At 46.0% G+C, this 25523-nt stretch overlaps 1 protein-coding gene across 16 annotated transcripts in view, besides 4 other annotated features; it reads right to left on the bottom strand.

The window, feature by feature from the left end:
• MGAT5 (alpha-1,6-mannosylglycoprotein 6-beta-N-acetylglucosaminyltransferase) overlaps positions 1-25523 on the bottom strand; it is a 334687-nt gene that overhangs the window by 285292 nt on the left and 23872 nt on the right. For 3 of the 16 annotated variants that reach the window (XM_047444402.1, XM_047444404.1, XM_017004148.2), the window contains exon 1: positions 1-25523. This exon is cut by the window's left edge and continues 8207 nt beyond it. The exons of 12 other annotated variants lie outside the window; for them this stretch is intronic. The gene's annotated coding sequence lies outside the window, so the exon portion shown is untranslated. One more of the 16 variants, XM_047444403.1, reaches the window with a different exon arrangement.
• Positions 2068-2117: an enhancer, noted in NCBI's record as "active region_16546". NCBI's record gives its function as "activates an Ori minimal core promoter by ATAC-STARR-seq in GM12878 lymphoblastoid cells {active_cell/tissue: GM12878}" and the evidence as "EXISTENCE:reporter gene assay evidence [ECO:0000049][PMID:35858748]".
• Positions 10259-10863: an enhancer, noted in NCBI's record as "H3K27ac-H3K4me1 hESC enhancer chr2:134916038-134916642 (GRCh37/hg19 assembly coordinates)". NCBI's record gives its function as "activates a minimal SCP1, AML or CMV promoter by ChIP-STARR-seq in naive H9 embryonic stem cells {active_cell/tissue: H9 hESC(naive)}" and the evidence as "EXISTENCE:reporter gene assay evidence [ECO:0000049][PMID:30033119]".
• Positions 10864-11469: an enhancer, noted in NCBI's record as "H3K27ac-H3K4me1 hESC enhancer chr2:134915432-134916037 (GRCh37/hg19 assembly coordinates)". NCBI's record gives its function as "activates a minimal SCP1, AML or CMV promoter by ChIP-STARR-seq in primed H9 embryonic stem cells {active_cell/tissue: H9 hESC(primed)}" and the evidence as "EXISTENCE:reporter gene assay evidence [ECO:0000049][PMID:30033119]".
• Positions 22469-22518: an enhancer, noted in NCBI's record as "active region_16545". NCBI's record gives its function as "activates an Ori minimal core promoter by ATAC-STARR-seq in GM12878 lymphoblastoid cells {active_cell/tissue: GM12878}" and the evidence as "EXISTENCE:reporter gene assay evidence [ECO:0000049][PMID:35858748]".

Here is a 25523-nt window from a genome sequence, read left to right as displayed (position 1 = left end):
AAGCTCAAGTGAGCCTCCTGCCTCGGCCTCCCAAAGTGCTGGGATTACAGGCATAAGCCACTGCGCCCGGCCTTGAAATCCCATTTTCAACCAACATTTATTCCTTTCATTTTATTTTTTGGATGAAAGTTATAAATGCCCTACAAACAAAATAACCTACTTGATACATTCTTACTCTACCACAGCATTCTACCAGAAACCTGCATTGTCTCTTTGCCCTCCCCCAAAGTATTTCTAAAGGTAAGCCATGACAAGCCAATACAGGTGCAGGGGGCCCAGCTGTGTGGTGCCCACCCAGGATCCAATGGCACAGGACAAAGGTGGGCAATTCCAGACCTGCAGGTCTCACATCTCCCCACCCACTTATGACCCTCAGCACTGGAACCTGTCAGGTTGATCCCTTCTCAAGGGGTCAACCTCAAGCATTTCTTTCTCTTATTCCCTATGGACGACGTCTCTCCCAGTAGAAGAATCTCAGAATCCTGAATACCAAAAACAACCACGGATTTCCCTATCTTTTTCCACATCTAAGACAAAGGTGGCTGAGAACATCAAAGTAAAGAGTGTCTATGGTTCTGCCTTAAACTCCTTTATGCCTAGAGAAAGTATTTCAAATAAGACCAACTGATATGCACTAGAAACAAATCATGACCACATTTATAAACTTTAAGTCTTTCAATCTTCCTTGTCATGCATCAGATAATCACATAGAAAAGAGCCCTACAATTACAATACTAGCTTCACGTGGCTTTCATCCACATGGGCAGAGCAGCTAAATTCACCATACTGTGAAGCCCAGTTTCATAGATCTAGGTTGGTCTTTGACGCCAGAACATATTAAATGGTAACCTTAAATAGGTTTAGATTCACTCAACTCAAAACTTTCTCTCATCTTTCCATTTCAATGAGGCCTCTCATCAAGTCTCCATGAAAAGTGTCCCCCAAATACAATAAAATCAAAATCTGTCCCAACTCACTAATACTGCCTGGGCTCAAATACAAAGCTCCAGCTGTCAAACTGTGTGACAGCAACCAAGTGATCTCCAACCCCCCATCTTTTTGTGTCTAAAACAGAGGTCGTCATGGGGCCTCATTATGAAAATGGGGATTCACAGCCAAGGCAAGGGAGACACAGTCTGTGTGTGGCACCAGGGTCAGTGCGCCTTCCACAAATGTTAGCAATTATGATTACTCTGGTTGCTGTTGCTTTAATGCAACAATAAATTAATAGGATTATAAACAGGCAGTTCTAGAACCACTGCGAAGCCTGGAACCATAGGAGCAGGTGGTGCCTGATGCTACCTGACAGTTATTTTGCTGATAGCTACTTTGTCAGACAGGTGTGACAAGGATGATTTAATGGCTTGCAACTTGGAATGCCCTTAGTTAAAATGACTGCTGTCCTACAAATGGTCCCCAGGTACAGCATGTTTGATTTACAGTTGAGAAAAAAATAGCCAAACTTCTGAATCCATCACTAACTTGGATTACAGAGATAATAGTTGTAGCCAAAGCTTATCCAAAATTTTAACCAAGACATGATGAAACCATGCTGGGAGACCACTTATGTAGGTTTGCAACCATTTTTAATGTTCATTTGCAGTATCACAAAGAACAGATTCCCTTTACAAGACTTGCACACCATAACAAATGAAATTTGGTATTGTCATCAAAATTTTAACAAGCACCAGGGTATTAATCTTAAAATTCTGTTTTCTAAACCATCCCCAAGCTACTTGTGTTTCTTTCCTTTAGCGCAGTGGTTCTCAAAGTGTAGACCCCGAACCGGCAACATCATCACCTGGGAAGGTATGAATGCAAAAATCTAAGACCCTGCCACAGGCCCACTCAATCGGAAACTCTGGGATGGGGCCAGCGCTGTTTTAACAAGGCCTCCAGGTGATTCTTGGATGCATGCTGAAGTTGGAGAACCACTGCCAACACGCTGTAAACATGTGGGCTGGGCCATTACTTCAGACAGCTCTTTTCCTTAAACTATCTGGCATTTTTCTGTCCCTTAGAAACCTGCTATAGGATGATGTCAACTGTTCTATTTTTAATTCCTCATGATGAGGCTGAGGATGATTCATTCAGCACCTTATGTGATCACTTAAATAGTAAGGATCCTTCCCTCCCGCCCCTAATGGAAGGTGACTGCTGCCTGTTATTTCTGATGTAATTACAGGAACAAATCAGTAACAAAAGCTTGTCCTTTATCAACCTCAGCTAATGTTGTAATAGAGACTTATAACTCCCTGTTAGTTTCCATAATGTGTTCCTCGTAATGTATCCTTTGAGACCCATCTTACCATATGTCATAACAAGGAAACACAGAACCCAGGATCAAATTTGTAGTTAATAGAGATCAAAACTGCAAGTCTTTGGGCAAACCTTTTTCAATTGACAAGAGACAAGTCTGTATCAACCATCTGGTTTTATCTCATTTATCTAAGTGAATTCCCTATAAAGAAAAAAAACAGTTGATTTAAAGCTTTCTACGGGTCCTGAGGTGACCTCATCTATTGTGCATTGTCCCATCACCACCCAACATCTAACTTAACTAATTACCAAAGTAGGAAACATTCAGAGACATTTCCTAAATATTAAATAAAACCTTTTTTATACCTTTAATTTGTTGAGGTGTGTATTAATTCAGAGAAGTTAATTTCATACCTGCTATGAGGTCTCCTGATGAATTGTGAATACCAACATGTTATTAATTTCCCTTGTTTTTGATTAATCTCGCACTTAATGCCAGACAAGAAAGGCAACATTAATGTCTGAAAGATGAAGTTCAGTTCTTGTAATATACTAAATCGACCTCATGTGTTCAAGTCAACAGAAAGCCCACATAAGGAAACAATGGAATTGGCTCCAGAAAGTGTCCAAGGTGTGATGTAAATAAATGCCCAGAAACCCAGAATGTTTAAGCTGTAAACTCCAGTTTTAATACTCCTCGGGGAGAGGAAGAGAATAAAAGTCAGAATTCTGAAGACTGCACTATGCACGAATAAACTTGTGCCCTTACTGTTGACCAGAGACATGATTTATCACACTATAGTTCTTACATTTCCAAGGGTCCCTCTGTGTATCACTCAGGCTCTTCACACCTTTCTCCTTGTCTTCTCTCAACTGTCTCTGCGATCATCTCAGCACTCCTGGCTCAATACGTGTGAAAAGACAGTCTCCCTCATCAGAGGCTATGAAGGAAAGGAGCAAGAACCCAGTCTTATGCAGTTTTAGATCTTCAGGGACCTTTGTGTCTACATGCCAATCCTATTCCCCTTAATAATGCCTATAGTGAGAACCTGCTATGTGCCGAGACACTAGGAGCCTCAGGCAAGTTATCAAACATAGCTGTACCTCTTTGAGGTACTATTTTTCATACCTTACAGGAGAAGAAACTGAGATTCAGAAAGCTAACTATCTTGCATAGTTGATCCCCATCTTAACACACATCTGCCAGGCTCCCAAGCCTGGAGTCTTCCATATCACACTGCTTCCCTAGAACATGAGTTACAGAACATTGCTGGCTCCCTAGAATTTTTTTTTTTTGAGACAGAGTTTCGCTCTGTCGCCCAGGCTGGAGTGCAGTGGCACCATCTCAGCTCACTGCAAGCTCCGCCTCCCGGGTTCACGCCATTCTCCTGCCTCAGCCTCCCGAGTAGCTGGGACTACAGGCGCCCGCCACCATGACTGGCTAATTTTTTGTATTTTTAGGAGAGATGGGGTTTCACCCTGTTAGCCAGGATGGTGTCGATCTCCTGACCTCATGATCCACCTGCCTCAGCTTCCCAAAGTGCTGAGATTACAGGCATGAGCCACCGCGCCCGGCCCTGGATAATTTTTTTAGAAGACCTGAATGCTATGAGCATGCCATCTTCCTCTAAAAAAAACTTCCCTTCCCACTTCCAGCTCCAACTCACCAAAGTCTTCTTTGAATTCCAACATGAAACAACCTCACAATCCCATGCAATATATTAAATTTTCTAATGTGCATTAGAGTATCCATGTCTTAAATCTCCACTCACAAATGAGCCAGCCCCACTAGGACTTACATCCTAGCTCTGTGGCTAAATAGAGCAATCAGTCATCTCTGGCCATCAGCTAGAGCAGCGATGCCCACCAAGGAAGCCACTTATGACGTGTGGTTATTTCAACCTAAAGAAAATTTTAAGATTTCATTCCTCAGATGCTCTAGCCATATTTTAAGTGCTCAAAAGCCAGTTGACTAATGGCTACCATACTGGATAGCACAGATACAGAACACTTCCATCACCACAGAAAGTTCTACCACACAGCCCTGGTGGAGAGTTATCTCAGGGCAGCATCTTTTCATCTTATACCCTACCAACACCGTGCTGGAGGACACAGCCTCCTTACCACAGAATTAAGGGACTGTCAGGCTAAATGTGGCCATACTCACGTTTGTTTTGTTTTTTTGTTGTTGTTGTTTTGTTTTGCTTTGTTTGGTTTGGTTTTTTTTTTTTGAGACGGGTGTCACTATGTTGCCCAGGCTGGAACAGAGTGGCTATTCACAGGCCCAATTATAGCACACAACAGCCTCAACCTTCCGGACTCAAGCGATCCTCTTGTCTCAGCACATCTCATCTTTTAACGAATAACATTTCTGGAGGAGTTAAGTCATTTGGCATACTTATTAATATAGAATACTAACTAGTAAGTAGACTGACCTCATAGGACAGAAAGCATCAGAAATGAGAGGCACTAAGAGAAAATCATAGTAAGCCCTTGCATTCAGGAATAACCACCCTGTGCAACCACACCTCAGGAAGCACCCAAGAGCAAGCCCCACAGACAAGCAGAACCACCCACACAGGCCCACCTCTGAGGTGCATCCTAATCAAGGCCCTCTCCACATGAGAGGTTAACCTCTACAATTCTTCCTTGGCAAGATGAGGTCCCCAAATTTGGTCTCATTTCTATTTATTAAAGAGGACAATGCTAGGAAACCAACCAACTCTCAAAGCTTATTTCCTACTGATCACTCACTGAATTGCTTCACTGAAAGTTGGAATAATTAGCATGTAGACAAGCTTTTGCTGACAATGACAGCAGGCTAGAAAACAGCCTCAGTTCCCCTGGGGACAACTGACCTAGAAGTTTTAGTTTAAAAGATTTTCAGGAATTAAAAGCCTGAGAAATTCTGGGGGTAGCTCCAATTTGGGGAAGGACCCTAGAATACAATACTGGTTACTGCTGGATTAGAACAGCCAGAGTGAGGCACATGGAGTGGTAAATAGGCAAGATCATTGATATGAGTTTCAACTGTTACCACCTGCAGGTTCCCTACACACTGCATTTCTTCTCTCTCTGTTGTTCATTGTCCCCTATTCTCTCTTCCTGCTGTCTGTGCATTCAGCCACTAAAACTGAATTCCGCACCCAGGACAAGCCAGCCTTCATGGCTGCCAATATTGGTCTATAAAGAAGTGGATCCAAGTCATAATGCTACTTCTGTTGCCAAGTCCTTTAGATGACTTTGGCAACCCCTTTGACAGCCCCTCGACTCAAACTGCTATACAGGTCAGACCTGGGTCTCTCTCAGTACAATGTTAAGGTAATGAATGGGAACTGTGTAGAGCTAAGACAAGAAACCAAAGTGGAGAATTTTCTAATAACAAATGCAAATCCATCCTTCTGGGGGAAAATAAACTCACATGTTCCTCTTAGAGCCTCTGACAATCATCCAGTCCTGGACAAATGTACCTCTCTCCTCTGAGCATCCAACTCAATCACATCAGTAAGATGTCTGCCTTTTTTCTCAACATTACTCACCTTTGCTTAAGAACCACAGCCAGTCGAATTGCTAACTCTGACAAGCGTCCCTGTCTTAACTGTCTCCTACTCAGTAGCTTACACCAGCTTTCTAACCTGGTGGGCCTTTCTCCATCCTCATGCCCCTCCCCTGATTTCATCCTGCACACCTGCCAGGTGAACCGTCCGGAACACCCTTACTCCAGCCCCTACTCACTAAAAGCAGGGCCTTCAATAAGGCGTCTTAGGTACCAACATCTCTAAGATCAAACCCTGGCCCCCAAGGCCCTCCAGAATCAGGAAGGTCTGCTCTAACTAAGAAATCTACCTTTTCTCCATATCGTAGCTAGGTTATTTTCCCTGTCCCCAATACATCCCCCTTCCAAGCCCACCTTACCCTTGCATAACTCAAACATCTCCTCTGGGAAACTTTCCTTCCTGGGTGTAGTAACTCTCCTAAGCAGACTGTCAACTCCTCAAGAGCAGGGCACGTCTTACACTTCTTGGTGTCTCTGAAGAGTATTTCAGACACAGAATCTTCAGCAACACCGACACTCCACAAATATTTGACAATCCACTGAAAATACAGTTTCTATTCATGCTCCTAAGTTCATTATTCCAACAGTAGATTCTCAGACCACTAAGGTCATCCCACTTCAATACACAGTTTGCAAGGCACTTAACATCTCTAAACCTCGGTTTCATCTTCTGTGAAATTGCAGTAATAACAGCACCTACCCCACATGGTCATTGGTGTTAAAGAAATAATGGTGAAGCACTTAGCATCATGTCTGGTGCATAGTAGGCATCCCAAACATGTTATTTCTACCCCTCCTCCTAATATCAGTAAGTCTCCTTAAGGGGACAATGTAACACAGTGGAAATAACATGGTTGGGAGGACAGAACGAACCTGGGTTGAAATCCCAACTCTGTTCAGATCCTAACTGTGGGACCTTAGTGAAGTCACTCATCACTTAGCTGTATTACCCTCAATGGTAAAAGGAGATCAATAACCTCAAAGGATTCGTCTAAGGACTAAATGAGAGAATATACCTAAAGTTCCCAGTACATAGTCAGCAGCTCAATTAGTAGCATTTACTAAATATGGTTTTAATTCCATTAAAACCCTAACAACTAGAAAAGAAAGACACACCTTTGGACTCCTTGCTTGCCTCACTGCCATCTCCTTCTGGTCATATTCTTTAAGGGAAGTCCCTAAATCAGGCCCAGAGTTTCAGCTGACAACCCGCCAGTCTTCAGCAAAAGGTCCTAACACCATGAGTACAAGAAAATTACATGGTGAGCTGCAAGGAGAACCATTTCTTTAAGGAGAGCAGGTGTATTTTGTTTTTGTTTTTTTTTGACATGGAGTCCTGCTCTGTCACCCAGGCTGCACTGCAGTGGCGTGATCTCGACTCACTGCAACCTCCACTTCCTGGATTCAAGTAATTCTCCTGCCTCAGCCTCCCAAGCAGTTGGAGTTACAGGCGTGCACCACCATGACCAGCTAATTTTTTTTTTAAAGGACAGCCAGGGTTTCACCATGTTGGCCAGGCTGGTCTCAAACTCCTAACCTCATGTGATCTGCCCGCCTCAGCCTCCCAAAGTGCAGGGATTACAGTCATGAGCCACTGCGCCCGGCCAAACATGTGTATTCTCATTCTTATCACTTCACCAATCTCCAAATATTCATATCTACTCCTATTTTACACATGTTTAGCAAGGTCCTTCTAGAAAGAAAAATACACTGGTACTATTACTCATTTAAAAAAAAATAAATCTATGAAACTATTCTAACAAAAGGAGAGCCGGAAGTGCTGAGAGAAAAATCCAGATTGAACTCGATATGCAAACAAGTAGATAAAATATGACAACCCCATGAAAAGCCCCCAGCCAAGATCACACCCTTACTAGAAGGAAAAATAAACTCTATTCTTCCAGACCACACCAGGATTTTTTGAAAACTGAAGGGAAGTCAGAGCAGAAGACAATCCTGAGGCTCCTACTCCCCTCTTCCTAGCGGCCCAGGCTTCTGCCTCCTGCCAGCCAGAGTCCAGGGCCCTGGGAGATCCTGCAGGAGGGGAGACAAGATGAGGGCAAGAGGCCAGCATTCAGAAGTTGAATGAGTTACCAGGTAACAAGGCTCCCACCAGAAATATGTCTTCTAGGCAATGGTCTGATAACACAAAGCTGAAAAATGACTTCACTTCCTTCCCGTTGCTCCCAGGCCCAACCCAGCCCCCAAGGCTAGCCCCACGGCCTTGGCAACACACTGGCCTGGCTCCAGCTCAACAGGATCTTCCCCGGGTCCTGCTCAGTTATCAATGCAAGGACAGTCATTCCCTCCTGAGGCAGGCTAAGAAAGCCTTATTGGAATCCATGGTGACAACGTCTGTCCTTCACAAGGGCTTATATATCCTGTAAAGAGCTGCAAACGCACAACCACTGGCAAATAGTGCAGGTGGCCTCCCTGTCTCCAAGCTTCTTCACCTCCTTCCACCACCTTCAGCTGTCCTAACTTCTTCAAGCCAGAGCCTGCCGCGGGGCTCACAGATGTTCTCTGCTAAAACTATTAAGTCTGCTTAGATCGTCCTGGCAGATCCTAGCCTGAAGTTCACCAGAAGTGTCAGATAACACTAATGATCATGGCAGAGCAGCTGGACCATTACCCAATGCTCACTAGCCAGCCAGATGCTTCCGAAGAACTGCATGCAACTTTCCCCACAACCCCTTTCAGGGGCTACCCTTATTATCTCCACTTGCAGATGAAGGAACTAAGCACAGAGGGTTAAAGTAACCTGCATAAAGTCACAGCTGACAAGGGAAGCCAGGATGTAAACCCTACACAGCACCTACACCTGTAGCTACTCTCCACCCTTTGTCCTTTTGCTAACCCCTAGAAGAAAGAATGACCCCTTACACACAACAAACCAGCATCATGTTCTGGTGGGGGAAGTGGAGGACCAGATGTGTTCATACAATACCCGCACCCAATCCTTAACCTACACCAACAGCTGCACCCAGCCTTCACATCCCCCATGAGCAGTTTGGGTGAGCCAGCCTGCATTTTGCAAAAGTGGAAACCAGGCCAGGCGCAGTGGCCTGCAATCCCAGCACTTTGGGAGGCCGAGGCAGGCGGATCACGAGGTCAGGAGGTCGAGACCATCCTGGCTAACAAGATGAAACCCTGTCTCTATTAAAAATACAAAAATTAGCCGGGCCTGGTGGCAGGCGCCTGTAGTCCCGGCTGCTCGGGAGGCTGATGCAGGAGAGTGGCATGAACCTGGGAAGCGGAGCTTGCAGTGAGCCGAGATTGCGCCACTGCACTCCAGCCTGGACAACAGAACGAGACTCCATCTCAAAAACAATAATAATAATAAAAAAATTAAAAAGTGGAAACCGTATTACCACTTACCCCAGGCTCCACCACACCAGTCAGGCAAATATGCTGATTGACTTGTCTGGTGTAAACCCATCCCCCTTCCTAGGAAAGCACAGCAGCAGCCAGCTGAGGAATCTACATTTTCTCTCCCCAAAGGACTCTGATGCAGTTTAGGATACATGGCACCACCACCCTTCTCCAGAGAGCTCATTTTCAGGGCAGACTTGGGAAAAGGATGTTAGAATCCCATAAGGAACTTTTAAAGAGATATGCCACGCCAGCAACTGAATCTTCTAGGGAGTAAGGAGAGAAGAGGAGCTAAAGTAGTGCTTAACTTCTAGGAGTCCTTATCATACCCCCACTATTGAGGCAATGCCTTTCCAGCACAGTCTCCACTCACTGCAACCTCCACCTCTGGGGCGGGAGTGGAGAGGGGCAGCAGCTGGGACTATAGGCTGTGCCACCATGCTCAACTAATTTTTAGTAGATACAGGGTTTCCCCATGTTGGCCAGGCTGGTCTCAAACTCCTGGCCTCAAGTAATCCACCTGCCTCAGCCTCCCAAAAGCCTCCCAAGGTACTGGGATTGCAGGCGTTAGCCACCATGCCCAGCCTCATACTACTTATGAAGATAGTAAAATTAGATCATGTGAAAGTACAAATACCCTGTAAAAACTCCTCGACAGATGTTTGCTGTTCACTTGTAATCAGAGAAAACACAACCGTCTTAACTCTTTGGACTGGTATAAAGCACTAGAAACCTTCTGTCTGAGCAATCTTGTCACCGTTCAAATGCTTTAACATTCTCTCCTCCAGAGATTCACTTAGCAGACACATTGCAAGCAAAGAGAAGGGAAGAAAAAAAAAGAGGAAGGGAAGCGAGAAGGGAAGGGATGGATGAATCCTGGGGCCTTTTACAGGACACTATGTTGGGAATACAGGGACCACACACACACACACACACACACACACACACACACACGAATTTAGACCAGTGTTCTCCAGAAGAAATGTAATGCAAGCCACAGATGTAATTTTAAATGTTCTGGTAGCCACATAAAAGATAAATAGAAACAGGTAAACTTAATTTTTAAAATGTATTTTATGTAACGTAATATACACAAAATATCACCATGTAAAACATGTAATCAACATTGAAACATGTATGAAATAGTTTACATTCTTTTCTTCATATTTAGAATTTGGTGTGTATTTTACATTTATAGTCTACCTCAATTCAGATTCGCAGCATTTCAAGAGCTCAATAGCCACATGTGCCTAGTGGTTATCATGTGAGACAGCCCAGATTCAGACAGTGAAGGGCAGATAAAGGGGAAGAGAAGGGGTAAGAATAAAACTCTAAAAGCTCTTTGGGGGGATCCATTTGGGGAGACAGTAGTAGTGATGGCAGTGGGGGCCCATATGGAGCAGCCGCTGCTGTAGCAGGGGAGGCACAGGTGGGACAGGGCAGCCAGCGGGAGACGGGAACAGGCAAGAGCCCCTCCCCCTTCCGAATTGGTGGGGCAGGAGCCCTGACCTCCTGGATGCAGCTGCAGCCACCCAGCCATGGCTGTGGACCCGGGCATCCCTGCATTCTTGGGGGTCCAGTTAGCACCCCCAGCCCCCACAGGCTTGGAAGGGCCTGCTCTCGCTGCCTAGACACTCTCGGCTCCCGGCACCAGCTCTGATTTCAGAGCAAAGTCGAGGCCAAGTCCTAGGCACTGTCGCAACCTGGCCACGTATAAGCACACTTGGGGCAGCGCTGACATGCCAGCCCTCTGCCACCCCTCCAGACTTTGGGCACCAATGAACACAGGAGGGAAGCCAAGGGGGCGCTTAGAGGGGGTGAGGGTGGCTCGGTATGGGCCTGCAGGCGCCCCTTGGCACAATTTAGGTGCCATGGACACTGGGAGGAGGCAGACATACTCCCAGGCAAAAAGGGGCAGGTCCCCACCTTCACGCCAGGGATGGAAGGTAAAACCCCACCTTCACGCCAGGGATGGCCTGAGGCCTGGGGGCCAGGCTGCCAGTTCCACCTACCAGAGTGATAACTTATGGTGCTTTTTCTGGCCTGCCCATGGCCGCCCATGGACCAATCAGCACACGCTTCCTTCCTTCTGAAGCCCATAAAAATGCTGGACTCAGCCAGACTCGGCCAGATATCAGAACAACCTGTCCGCAGAGACAAGCTACCCACTGTGGGTCTCCCCTCAGCTGAGAACTGAACAGACTTGTCAGGACACCCTGCCTGTGGATAGAAGCTACCCACTTCAAGTATTCTGAGAACTGTACTGCTGCTCAATGAAGACCCTCTCTGCCTTGCTCACCCTCTGGTTGTCCACGTACCTGGCAGGATCTAGGCTGTGTGCCCCTTATGATAATCTAATGCCTGATGATCTGTCACTGTCTCCCATCACCCCCAGATGAGACCATCTAGTTGCAGGAAAACAAGCTCAGGGCTCCCACTGATTCTACATTATGGTGAGTTGTGTATTTTTTCATTATATATTACAATGTAATAATAGAAATAAAGTACACAATAGATGTAACGTACTTGAATCATCCCAAAACCACCATCCCCCACAACCACCAGTCCATGGAAGACTTGTCTTCCATGCAACCAGTCCCTGGTGCCAAAAAGGTTGGGGACCACTGAGCTAGACAACACATTGGTTATAATGACCCTTCAAAATATCAATAGTAGTAACCATGGTTTTGTTAGTAACACTAGTAATGGTCACCATTTACTAAGGGCTTACTAAACCCCCAAGCACTTTGCAAATGTTTCACAAGCTTTTTTAAAAAATAAGCTTTCATTTTTGAATCATTTTAAATTTGCAGAAAAGTTGCAAAGATAGTACAGAGTCCCCGTATGCTCTTTGGCCAGCTTCCCCTAAAGTTAACATCTTACAAAACCATGATATATCTGTCAAAACAAAAAAATTAACATTGGCATGATACTATTAACTACAGATTTGATTTGGATTTTAGCAGTTTTATAAGTATTTTATCTTCCCAAGAACCCTACGAAGTAAGTACCATTCTAAACCCAATATGATGGAGGATGCTGAGGCTTAGTAAGAATCAATCACTTGCTTATATTAACAGTAAAATGCCAAAGACTAGCAAGACTTAGATGATGATTTTGGTTCCTCCATATCTGGAGGCTCTGCTTAATCCCTACACCATAAGCTTACCTAGATATCATCATTCCCAATTTATAGAACGAGAAACCCTGACAAGAAGCGAGCTACCTGAAGGCATGCTGCATCAAACCTGGATGTGTCCGAGTCCAACGTCCCAGTTGCACTCTGGCCACACCACCGTCTCCCTCCATAACACAAGAGAGATGAGGAGTTGCTCAGGGCCCATGCAAAGCCCCTGAAACCCATGAGGAATGTCGTGAAGGCTGTGATGTGGAGGGAGGGGATCACAGCCCTCGAAACGGACTACTTGTTCCGGGGCTACTGGTAAACCTGAGAGCTCTCTCGTGGCTCTCGTCAGGTAAAAGGGGCACAGGGAGCCAACTCAAGAGTGCCTTACAAGGAGCATGTCTAGAGGAATGAGTGGCAGAAGGAGCAGCCACCAACTACTCTAAATTTAGCTACAACCAAACCACTGGGATCCTTGCTTTGGGCCTCTATAAGGAACTCTTTTAAAACATTCTTCTCCTGGGGGATCCTGTAGCTCAGTCCTTTCTAGCCCCTAGATTTTACCACCTGGGCAACAAAAGAGGCAGGAGTCGTTAACAACCTCACACAGACCTAAGAAGAATGACACAGGCCAAACAGACAGAGACCTGGACGAACTTATCTGGACAGCCCATAACAAGCCATGTTTTGCACTTTTCTTCCAGCCTTCATTTCCTTTTTGGCACTCCATGATCCCCTCCAGGTGTTTCTGATGCACACTACGGTTTGAGAACCTGTGACCTAGAAATGTATTCGGAAGGGTCTCTGTATGCAAATAAACAAGATCTCATGCACAGACCGGCGGCCTGTGCAGAAGCGCACAAGCTGAGCTGGGGGAGCAGCATTCATTCATCTCACAGTTAGGGAGCAGTAGAGGCCAGGCCTGCGTTGTGTGCTGCTGGACGTCCTAGGCTTCCTGGAGCATAAAGTATAGGAGAGCTTGAAGATATAAATCAAGCAAGCCTACGGATGAATACAGAATTACAAACTGTGGCAACTACTATGAAGAAAAGAACGGCGGGGAGAGCAGCAGAGAATAATGGGGATCTGCTCTCAGCTGAGGGGTCCAGGGAGGCCTCCCTGCGGAAGGAAAGGACATTTAAGTGCAGATAGGAAGAGGCAGGAGTTGGCCAGAAAAAGAGGGAAGGAAGGAAGCTTTCTCAGAAAAAGAACACCATGTGCAAAGGCCCTGGAGCTGGGGAGAGCATGGTACTTTGGAGATCCTGAAAGAGCCAGTGTGGCTAGAAACAGAGGGAGGCAGGAGGACAAGTGAAAATGAAGCTGGAGATGTCACCTGGGCCAGAGGTATGACCAAGAGTCTGTGTTGGCATCTAAGCTTAAAAAGGATGGCCCTGAATTTTAGTAGAATATTGACAATAAAAATAACAACCAACATTTTTTCCAGTACTTACTATGTGCCAGGCCCTGTCCTAAGTGCTCCATATAAAAAGGTAATCCTTACAACATTCCAACAAGTAGATTCCACTCCTATCAGCATGCCACTTTACAGATGAGGACACAATTCAATTCAGCTGCTCCAAGTCAGACCTAGTTAAGGACTGAAACACAATCAGACCAACTTCAGAAACCAAGCTCTCAACCACTTCGTCACTCTGCAGGAGAATGGAGAAGCAGATGGACCTCAATGATCTGCTTTGCATTTTCAGAAGCTCAATGTGGATGCCGTGCAGACAGGGAAGTGAGAATGGAAGCAAAGGACACGGCATCTTCCAGGCCAGAAATGGCAGGAGCCTGGGCCAGGGTGGTGGCAGCAGAGATGTCCAAGACACAGGAATTCTGGGCGGTGGGGAAAGAGAGCACTCTCCTAGGGACTGTTTCACATGTGCCAAACTCCTGACCATGAACAAAGTTTGCGCGTCCTAACCCACCCCATCCACCTGCCATCAGACAATGTGAATAAGCGCCCAGGAGAGTTCTCCCTCTTCTGCAGGACTGACCCAAAACACAGGGCGGTCACTGAGCCTCTGTTATTCCTAAGAGTTAGCATTGATGAAAAAGTCTGTTCTTTGTTTAGAAGGGATGTCATTATCCTCCAGGAAAGGTCACAGATGACCAAGACACCTCACGGTGGTGCCCTCAAGAACACTGACCAGATTCAAACTCAGATACAAAAAGATGCTTCTAGCTTGAATTTTAACAAGCAGAGTTTCTCTTTAATTAACTTGATCGCCTCACAGCTCATTAGAGAGAGTCAGACAGCACAGTTGTCAGGATGGCTCGTGTTTCTAGAAAACTCCCACCTATGGCTTGGTAAAACGGTATGGATCTTGGAGAGGCCATTTCCTTGGATGAGATTTAGAGTCTCAGGGGTGTGGTCAGTGTCCTCTGACTTCAAATAAAAAGAGTGTTGTGGGGTAGATAATGGAGGCTTACCACCAGCTTACACAGCCTGAGAATCAAAACCACTGACAGCTCCGTGCAGGCAATGGGGACACCTGGACGGGCGGAACCACTGAGTTTCTTGTCTCCCGTGACAGGTCTAATCAGGACTTCCCCAAAACGGGGCTTGCCTGTGCCCTCTGACCTGCATGTCTGAACACAGCATGGATAGGCCTGGCAGGATATGGAGGAGGACACAGAAGGGGAGGAGTGGGTGGGAGCAGGGCCATTTCCTTATATAAATAAGTCGCAGCCTCTCGTATTGCAACAGTTGTGAAAAAGTCCACACCCATTTCAGAGTTTTGAAAGACTTCATCTGAGATAGGTGGAGAGGGCCAAGTGCCCCTCTGAAGCTCTTTCCTGCGTGCCATCCGTTCCCTGACCCATATTCGTTTCTCCCAAATTCCTCCTCATTACCTGCTGCCTTAATTGGCCACAAAGTCTATGTATTATAAGTGGAAACTATTAATAACACCTGGTGGGTGAAAATGCTATGGCTCTTATTTACAAAAGTATTAAATTAAGTACCTCTTGTTTTGCGGGGCTCTGGGTATTTTTTTTCCATAGGATAAAAAAATAAAATAAAATAGGGCATAAGAACAAAGAGCTACAGCCCTGCCGTTGCCCCTATGGAAGGGGCCGAGAAACTTCTAATGATGAGGGAAGGGAGGGAGAGAGTGGAGCGGAGAAGCCCATGTCTCTGGGCCTTAACCCTCATAGCATTAGGGCCTTCTCCTCCCAAGGAACCATAAGCAAGAGTTAATATGTCACTCAGCAAACACTGCTCGAGAAGTATAGTCAGTCGTCTGCTATAAGGAAATCGTCCTCGAGTGGCCTGTAAGACTCTGAGTGAGTGGCTTAATCACCCAGCAGGGCCTAGCAGGCAATACAGAAAACTCCTCCGAGACAGCAAGCCTGTAAAGGCAAAGCATTATCATTTGTAACAGGATTAATAACAACATGGGCTGGAAACAAACAGACACCACTGGATTACGTTTCCAGCCTCTTCAGGGAGACCATCGAGTTCAATGAAGGGTTTTATTTCTTTGTTTTTAAACAAGACAGCATCTCCCACCATGTGACACCAAGAACCCTCTCCAGGGAAATCAGTTCTTGTGCATTTGTCCTGCCAATGACAGGCAGCCTGAGGTACAGGGATTAAAACAGTTAGTCAGGAGAAGGTCCAGGAGGAATTTTACAATTCCAATTTAATAATAAAAAAAAAGAAAGAAGACCAAGGGTCTCCTGATTAAGCCTCAGCACTTTAAAAAGGGCTTAAGGGGATCAATATTCCCATGTCACAGTGCTCCTTAAGTTATTTTTTTAACCACTTGGGGCCTTGATTAAAAATGTGGACTCTGGCCCGGCGTGGTGGCTCACGCCAGTAATCCCAACACTCTGGGAGGCTGAGGCAGGCAGATCATTTGGGGTCAGGAGTTCGAGACCAGCCTGACCAATATGGTGAAAGCCCATCTCTACTAACCCATCTCTACTAAAAATACAAAAAAATTAGCCGGGCGTGGTGGCACATGCCTATAGTCCCAGCTACTTGGGAGGCTGAGACAGGAGAACTGCTTGAACTCAGGAGGTGGAGGTTGCAGTGAGCCAAGATCACACCACTGCACTCCAGCCTGGGCGACAGAGTGAGATTCCATCTCAAAAAAAAAAAAAAAAAAAAAAGTGGACTCCATGCCTGGAAAGGGTATGCTTAGAGATCTCCCCTTTTGACAAGTTCCTTTGGACTTCCTTACGCAACTGAGGTTGCCAAAGCACTGCCCTATTTCATTAATGCACTGCTGATATACAGCTAAAGTCAGAGAACGATTCATACTTTTCTTTTAAAACTAAGAAGATAAACTCAGTCACATTTGCACATAACTTGGAGACAAACATAGTTACCACGTTCATTAGTGAAGTCTCTGGCTTCCCAATTTTTTCAACAGATAGTTCATTATTTTGTAAAAAATTAAAAAGACATTGATTTTACATTTACTTCCTTTATTTCCTTTGGGGAAGATTGGCAGTGCAACATTTGGCAACAGAAAGAAGAGCTGTGAGTGACTGAGGTCCCATGGCAGTGAGTGGGTCCCACAGGGGATGAGTGAGTGAGGTCCCATGGCAGTGGACGGGTCCCATAGGGCGTGAGTGAGGTCCCATGGCGGTGGGCGGGTCCCATAGGGCGTGAGTGAGGTCCCATGGCGGTGGGCGGGTCCCATAGGGCGTGAGTGAGGTCCCATGGCGGTGGGCGGGTCCCATAGGGCGTGAGTGATAAGCGGGTCCCATGGTGGTAAGCAGGTCCCATAGGGCGTGAGGTCCCATGGTGGTAAGCGGGTCCCATGGTGGTAAGCGGGTCCCATAGGGTGTGAGTGAGTTCCCATGGCGGTGGGCAGGTCCCATAGGGTGTGAGTGAATGAGGTCCCATGGTGGTGGGTGGGTCCCAGAGGGGATGAGTGAGTGAGGTCCCATGGCGGTGGGCGGGTCCCAGAGGGGATGAGTGAGTGAGGTCCCATGGCAGTGGGCGGGTCCCATAGGGCATGAGTGAGGTCCCACGGCAGTAACCAGGTCCCATAGGGCATGAGTGAGTGAGGTCTCATGGCAGTGGGCGGGTCCCATAGGGCTTGAGTGAGTGAGGTCCCATGGCGGTGGGCGGGTCCCACAGGGCGTGAGTGAGGTCCCATGGCGGTGGGCGGGTCCCACAGGGCGTGAGTGAGGTCCCATGGCGGTAAGCGGGTCCCATAGGGCGTGAGTGAGGTCCCATGGCAGTGGGAGGCTCCCATAGGGCATGAGTGAGTGAGGTCCCAAGGTGGTGGGCGGGTCCCACAGTGGATGAGTGAGTGAGGTCCCATGGCGGTGAGTGGGTCCCACAGGGCATGGGTGAGTGAGGTCCCATGGCAGTGAGTGGGTCCCACAGGGCATGAGTGAGGTCCCATGGCAGTGGGAGGCTCCCATAGGGCGTGAGTGAGGTCCCATGGCGGTAAGCAGGTCCCATAGGGCGTGAGTGAGGTCCCATGGCAGTGAGTGGGTCCCACAGGGCATGAGTGAGTGAGGTCCCATGGCAGTGAGTGGGTCCCACAGGGCATGAGTGAGTGAGGTCCCATGGCAGTGGGCGGCTCCCATAGGGCGTGAGTGAGTGAGGTCCCATGGCGGTGAGTGGGTCCCACAGGGCATGGGTGAGTGAGGTCCCATGGCGGTGAGTGGGTCCCACAGGGCATGGGTGAGTGAGGTCCCATGGCGGTGAGTGGGTCCCACAGGGCATGGGTGAGTGAGGTCCCATGGCAGTGAGTGGGTCCCACAGGGCATGAGTGAGTGAGGTCCCATGGCAGTGGGCGGCTCCCATAGGGCGTGAGTGAGGTCCCATGGCGGTAAGCGGGTCCCATAGGGCGTGAGTGAGGTCCCATGGCAGTGAGTGGGTCCCACAGGGCGTGAGTGAGGTCCCATGGCGGTGAGTGGGATGTCACTCACTCACCTCTATGGGCTGCATAATTATGCAAAATGCAGGCATGCCCCAACCTTGAATCTTTCCAAACCTGGGACTGAGAAGGCCTAGAGGCAAGGGGAATCCAAGTGTACAGAACATGCAGGGGTGGGGTGCAGATTTGGCACCAGCCCAAGTCACAACAGCCTCAGATTCAGACTTCTGATCCTCTCTCCCAATGGAGTCCTGGAGCCTCACAGAGATCCAAACAATGGGATTGAAAGCAGAAGACATTCGTCACATAACTTTGAACATATATTCATTACCAGGCCACACCTATAATGTGCTATGTCTCCATATTTTTGTGACTCCTATTATTATCTTGTGAAAAGCATAACTGTATTCTATTATGTTTCCTTGTGTTAAAAAGCATCCAGGTCTTCAATGTAAATATTTAAAACTGTCTATGGTGTTTCTAACCCTATGTACTTTTTCACTTTTTAAATACACTGAAAGGCTCAAATTATGGAGGTAGCCACTCTTCTCTTAATCTCTGAGAGGCCCAACCTGCAGAGTGGCTGATGGAGCAAACCCAGCACAAGCGTGGTCCTCTATCTACCACAGGGGATGAGAGGAAATCTCCAGGCACTGGTGTCAGAAGAAGCAAGGGAGGGGGCCTCCCAATTATTAATAATATCTCCTTGCTTGGTGTCATGGCTGTCTTGCCTGCCCAGGGGCACCTATGGGCTGTGAATTAGACTGCTTCTGGGCATAGGGAGCAGAAACCAGGGGACAATTTACATGGAGAACTTCTCTGCTGGACACCAGGAGAGCCAGAGCTCAGGAAAATATAGCATCATGATCCAGAGGGTTTGCTTTTTAGTATTCCTCCTTCTGTCTCAATGGCCTTGCTGATAGGGGTAAACACACTACTATCAAGACGCTAGGAGGCCAGGGAAAGGGAACATTTACATCTAGCACCTAAGTGCTCAGCATTCTGCCAGGAGCCTCACAGTGCTGACATCTGACAGCCTCCCTGCCTGTTATCTGGTGATTCTCTTGGCCTCACCCCCACCCATTCTCACCCTCCAACCAGCTGACCCCTGTATACACCTGGCTTCCCTGCCTGCTGGCTTCACATTGGTTCAGCCAATCAGGCACCCAGTGGGGAACTGGAGGAAGGAAGAGAGAGGTCTGGGTATTTCTCTCTGGCTCCCTCTCTCACTGGGTGCCACATCTTTGGGTAACCTTCTTCCTTGACTATAGCTCCTTCTGGGCAGCTCCTCCTCCACTGTTCCAGGTCTCACTGCACTCCAGTAACTCTACTTCCTCCCCAGGCCCCTCAGCCTTAGAGGTGATAGGGCTTTTCCACTGCTGTTAGTGCCTTGGTGGATCCCTCAACCTCTATAATTATTCCTTTCATTAGGCTTCATTCAAACCATCTGAGGTGAATTGTTTCCTGCCAGGAGCTCTGATACCAACTCTCATTTTCAATGTAATTGCTTTCGCAATTGAGATGAAATGCACAGATGTGGGTCTATAAGCATGTGGGGGCATTTCCAAGAGTTTATTAACCTGGTATAAGTACTAGGTTAATAAAGAAGAGCTCACAAGGCTCATTCAACATCTGTGTGGCCTTGAACCCAACTCCAAATCCAACCAGATAACCGTGGCAATCCCAAGACATGGGTGTAGAGCCTCTAAATTCTGTCTGTAGTAGATGCACAGGGATTTTTTTTTTTTTACTCACCCTTGCTTTCTATCACATGCTTGCTAGTGGAAAAATCTCTGGGGGGCCTATAAAACATTTCAGCTTCTCTGGGGAGTAGAATCCACATGGAGGATAATGGTAATAGCTGCCTGTCACTGATCTTGTACATTGCACAACAGCCCTGTAAGGAAGCTTTCTTTATCTCCACCTAACAGATGAGCAAAAAGATTCACAGATGGATAAGCAACTTGCCTGGGCCTGACCTCACGGCTGTTCTTTCCTTCCCATTGCACTATTTCTTAAAAGAGGGAAATAGGATCCATGGTCTCCAAGTTACTCCTAAATTAAGCCTGGAGGGATAAAGCTCCCCAGGCAAATCATAAACACCAGGCTGGGCACGGTGGCTCACGGCTGTAATCCCAGCACTTTGGAAGGCCGAGGTGGGCAGATCACCTGAAGTCAGGAGTTCCAGACCAGCATGGCCAACATGGCGAAACCAAGCCTCTACTAAAAGTACAAAAACAAAAATTAGCTAGGTGTGGTGGCAGGCTCCTGTAATTCCAGCTACTCGGGAGGCTGAGGCAGGAGAATCACCTGAACCAGGGAGGCAGAGGTTGCGGTGAGCCGAGATCACACTACTGCACTCCAGCCTGGGTGACAGAGACTCTGTCTCAAAAAAAAAAAAAAAAAAAAACCTAAGAAAGAGAACTTAATTTCAAGGAACAACAGCTAGCTCAGAAAGTTCTCTACGATAGAAGTGAAAAACTGCATACAGTGTGTCCATGTGTATAACATGTATAGTATAATCTCATCGTGGATAATGTATGGATGTGTGATGTCTACAATGATTGTTTATGCACAAAACTTGTCAGCAATAGTTTTTTCTGGAAAGGTGAGAGAGCCATGCTCTCCTGCACAGTTTGAATTTTCTATCATAAGCATGAAACTTAATTTCTTATTTAAAGAATCAGAAAGGAAGAAGAGAGGGAAGAAGGTTAGTTTGTATGAACACTTAGACCAATGGTTCTCAACTTTCACTGCACACTGGAATCCCCTGGAACCAAGGGCAATCACCAGGGGAATCCTGAGATCTGCAGTTAATTAGTCTGGGGTATGGCCAGAGTGCTAGAATTCTTAAAACTCCCCCAGGTGATTCCAATGGGCAGCAAGGGTTGAGGACCACTGCATTATCAGTCAGGATAAAATTTAGACCAGAGGCGACAGAGCAGGTGTCTTAACTTTTGCATGCTCTGGACTCCCCCAGCAATCTGATGAAGCCCGTGGATGTTTCCTCAAAATAACATTTTTAAATGCATGAAATAAAACACCAAAGATTACAAGGCAAACAAATTAGATTTAGTTATCACAATATTTTTCCATTGTGATACGGTATGAGTGCTTCTTCATTAAGTTACACCAAGTAACAAGATCTAAAAATGGTTTTATTCTGTACCACCATTTTTAAGTAGTGATGAGTGTAAAAAATATTTAGAGATCTCTGCAACAACTGTAGTGCGATATGGATTTATTAATGACAAAGGTCAAGGTATTTCTAATATTACTTTGGTTTGTTCCCTATATTCACAATGGAAGAAAATGCCAAATTTCAGTTAGAACTCAGCGTCTATTTTTTTCCCATCCAAGCTTACGGACTGCCAGGCATAGACGTGGAAGGAGGAGGACAGGATGCCATCAGTGAACACAGTCATAGGACTTGCTCATCCCAACGCTGATTCTATTACCGGGTGTAAGACCTCAGACAGAAGGAAAGAGGACAACAAAACAAAAACAACTTCAATCACATGCTAATTTCCATTAGAGGCTGTTCCTTTTTTTTCTTTTCTTTTTTTTTTTTTTTATTAACTCTGTAAGGCTCCTTCAAGATACAAAAAAATGTACATTTCCTGATAACTACACTGTATATTTTAATTATGGCAATATTTTTCAAGTACAACTTCATGTGAAAAGATCTGTGTTTCTTCCACTAAAAAGATTCAACTGTGTTATCTGCCTCAAGACATCCATCACATGAATGCCAATATCTTAGGATTTAAAAGGGGGCTTTTTGAAACTTTCTAAGTATTTAATCAATAGGTTCCTTTTCATATAGAGCTACACTGCCTGCATAGACCGTGAACATGTTTTTTCTTTAATCTAAATTTGAAATAGCATTTACTATGTACTGAGCAGCTATTAGACTTCCGTTACAGCACTGGGTTCTTTTCCCAAATCACAGTATTCTAATGCTCACATCCATGCTGTACCATTATCCCATTTTACTAATAAAGAAACAAAATGACTAAGAACTTCAAAACAGTCTGATGGTACAAAATCACTCTCTCAGGAAAAAAGAAAGAGAGCGAGAGAGAGCAGGAACCCAAACTACATTAACATTCATGTTGAAATTCCAGTTATAAATTAAAAGGGTTTTTTTTTAACTAAACAATAAAATATTTTCTTCGAGTGGAAAGGGACCACCACACCCACTTATACTAGCAACAGACTAAGCTAAGAAACTCAAAGACCTACTTTTCTTCATAGCCATACTTTTCTAATGACTCCAGAGTGACTTTTTAAATTCCTTCCATTCATGAAGTAATACAACACTCCAATGAAATGCAGAAGAGAATGGCATCCTCAGACCCAGCATGCAGGCACATGGCTGCGGAAGAGCGGTGGCCAGTCCCCAGGGCTGAAAGAAACCCAGCTGCCAATGCCGGTACCCAGCGATCCAGGAAGCCCTGGTCTATGTAAAGCAGCAAACAGGTTAGGGAGGTTCCCCAGGCCCTCTCACATCCATTAGAAACAACAGCAGCATTATCTTCAAACAGTAAGGTTCTCATTCCATAACTACCAGAGAGCTTTTCAAATGAGCCTAATCAATTTTTTTTTTTTAAATAGGGTCCTGCTGTGTTGCACAGGCTGGAGTGCAGTGGTGCTATCATAGCTCACTGCAGCCTCAACCTCCTGGGCTCAAAAGACACTACCACCTCAGCCTCCCAAGTAACTAGCACTATAGGCTCATGACACCACACCTGGCTAATTTTTGTATTTTTTTTGTAGAGACGAGGTCTCACTATGTTGCCCAGGCTGGTCTGGAACTCCTGGGCTGAAGCAATCCTCCCACCTGGGCCTCCCAACATGATGGGATTACAGACATGAGCCACCGCACCTGGCCTACTCAAACGTTTTCATTCTCAATGTTCTCAAGACTCATTTCCTTTTACTTAATATATGCAATGGGGTAGGAGGTATACAATGGCATTATTTCTTAAATTTTTTGTCTCCTATGAAATTAAGGCATTTAATGGGGATGGGGAGGCTCATAATGAATGAGTTATTTCAACATCAGCCAAACACCACACTTAACTAAGAATGCCCAAAACTCTCCTTAAAGCAGAATAAAGACTGGAGTAAAGAACTCATGAGAGAGATCACAGAGAAAAGACCAGGCTAACCAAAATCAAGGACACCTTAAAAAACAGTCTAACAGTAAGTCTCAGCAATGCACATTTTGTTCTCATCTTTGTTTTCCAGCAGGGTGGAAATGTACAAGAGTGAGCGTGAAGAGATTGGGGGTTGGGGGAAGGTGTTAGGAAGGAGACAGAACTGGCATTTAGTAAGTCCTAGCAAGTTTAAGGGACTTTCATGTGTTTCATTAATTTTTCCCACAACCTCACCAGATAGATTAGCACCTCTTCAACTTTAAAATAAAACTGGAAATCAGAGAGGTTAAGCAACTTGCCCAGAGGCACACAGCTATAAAGAGCAGAGTCAGAATTAGAAGGCAGGTCAACCTGTCTCAGGGCCTCACTCTTTTTCCTGCCCCTCACTCCTCGGATCTTGTTAGTTATTTTCAGTTCAAATGTCAAGGCTCAGGAAAATTGCATCCCAGGTTCTCTTTTTTTGAGACGGAGTCTCGCTCTGTCGCCCAGGCTGGAGTGCAGTGGCACAACCTCGGCTCACTACAGGCTCCACCTCCTGAATTCAAGCAATTCTCCTGCCTCGGCCTCCCAAGTAGGTAGGACTACAGGGGCCTGCCACCATGCCCAGCTAATTTTTTGTATTTTTAGTAGAGATGGGGTTTCACCATGTTAGCCAGGATGGTCTCAATCTCCTGACTTCGTGATCTGCCTGCCTCAGCCTCCCAAAGTGCTGGGATTACAGGCGTGAGCCACCGCGCCCAGCCCGCATTCCAGGTTCTTTAAACACACACACACACACACACACACACACACAGAGAGAGAGACACACACACACCTTACTTTGGTTATAATTCCTTGGAAGGAAGGGGAAAACATCAATGCATATCCAAGAAGTCAGAGAGGAGGGGAAAAAAAGAGCAAACAGCCCAATTTTCCAAAAGACCAAGGTGGGGGTTGGGATGGATTCCAGAAAATGGAGACATTGGTGAGGATTCAAGTTCCACAAGTATTCAGCAAATGGTTTGTGATCACTTTTAAAAGGTGGTCTGCACAGCAGAATGAATTTAGAAAGAACCAAGCAGGCCAGCGTGACCTCATGCCTGTCCGTATTGGAGGAGACCCCTTGTTTGGTCAGAACACAGGGCATCTGTTTCCACAAGCCATAAGGCCCGTTTCCCACATCATGACATCATCACTCCAAAGGACTCACCCAGCAGCCGTCCAAGCCAGTACCTTCCAAAATGATTTTGGTCCCATAGCTCACCAGTCAAAAATGAGCATGCATCCCTAATATATATGACTTATTTTAAAATTAAAAACATGTACTACTGCCAACTTATAAATATGAGTACAGTTTAAGACCTTACTTTTTAGGGAAGAAAATATATATAAATTAAAGCTTTTACATTTTCTTCCCATTCCCCAAAGGATTATACTGAGCACCAAATGTTCGAACTTAGTGCGTGATATGGTTTGGATCTGTGTTCCTGCCTGAATCTCATGTAGAATTGTAATCCCCAGTGTTGGAGGTGGGGCCTGGTGGGAGCTAATTGGATCAGGGGGGCGGAGTTCTCATGAATGGGTTAGCACCATCCCCTAGGTGCTATTCTCCTGACAGTGAGTAAGTTATTGTGAGATATTGTTGTTTAAAAGCATGTAGCACCTCCCGCCTCTCTCTTCCTCCTGCTCTGGCCATGGGAAGTGCTGGCTTCCCTTCACCTTCTGCCATGATGGTGAGTTTCCTTGTACCTCCCCAGAAGCCGAGCAGATGGCCAGCATCATGCTTCCTCACAGCCTGTGAAACTGTAAGCCAATTAAACCTCTTTTCTTTATAAATTACCCAGTCTCAAGTATTTCTTTAGAGCAGTGCAAGAACAGACTAATCCAGTGACCTTGATGCCACACAGTGGTTGCTTGGAGCCCAGTGAGCTTCATCTTCAACCGGCATCCCTGACACACCTTGTCCTGGCCTCTACTCCCAAGGCTGATGGCCTGCTCTTCCTCCCTGAGCATCCCAGAATCACTTCTTTCCATTTCCTCCCCCAGCATAGCCTTTCCCTCCTAAATTCCCTCACCTCCCTGAACTTGTTACAATGTCTTCTTCTCCCCCACATCCCTATCTTCTCACTGTAATAATTACCCAGCAAAATCCTTACGTGGTAACAGAAAACTGTGCCTTCATTTCATAGTCTGCCTTCTCTTCTGCATTCAGGCGGTTCAAT

This window comes from Homo sapiens, chromosome 2 (genome assembly GCF_000001405.40).
Source record: "Homo sapiens chromosome 2, GRCh38.p14 Primary Assembly".
Classification (NCBI taxonomy): Eukaryota; Metazoa; Chordata; class Mammalia; order Primates; family Hominidae; genus Homo; species Homo sapiens.
This window is presented reverse-complemented; position numbering and strand designations above follow the sequence as displayed.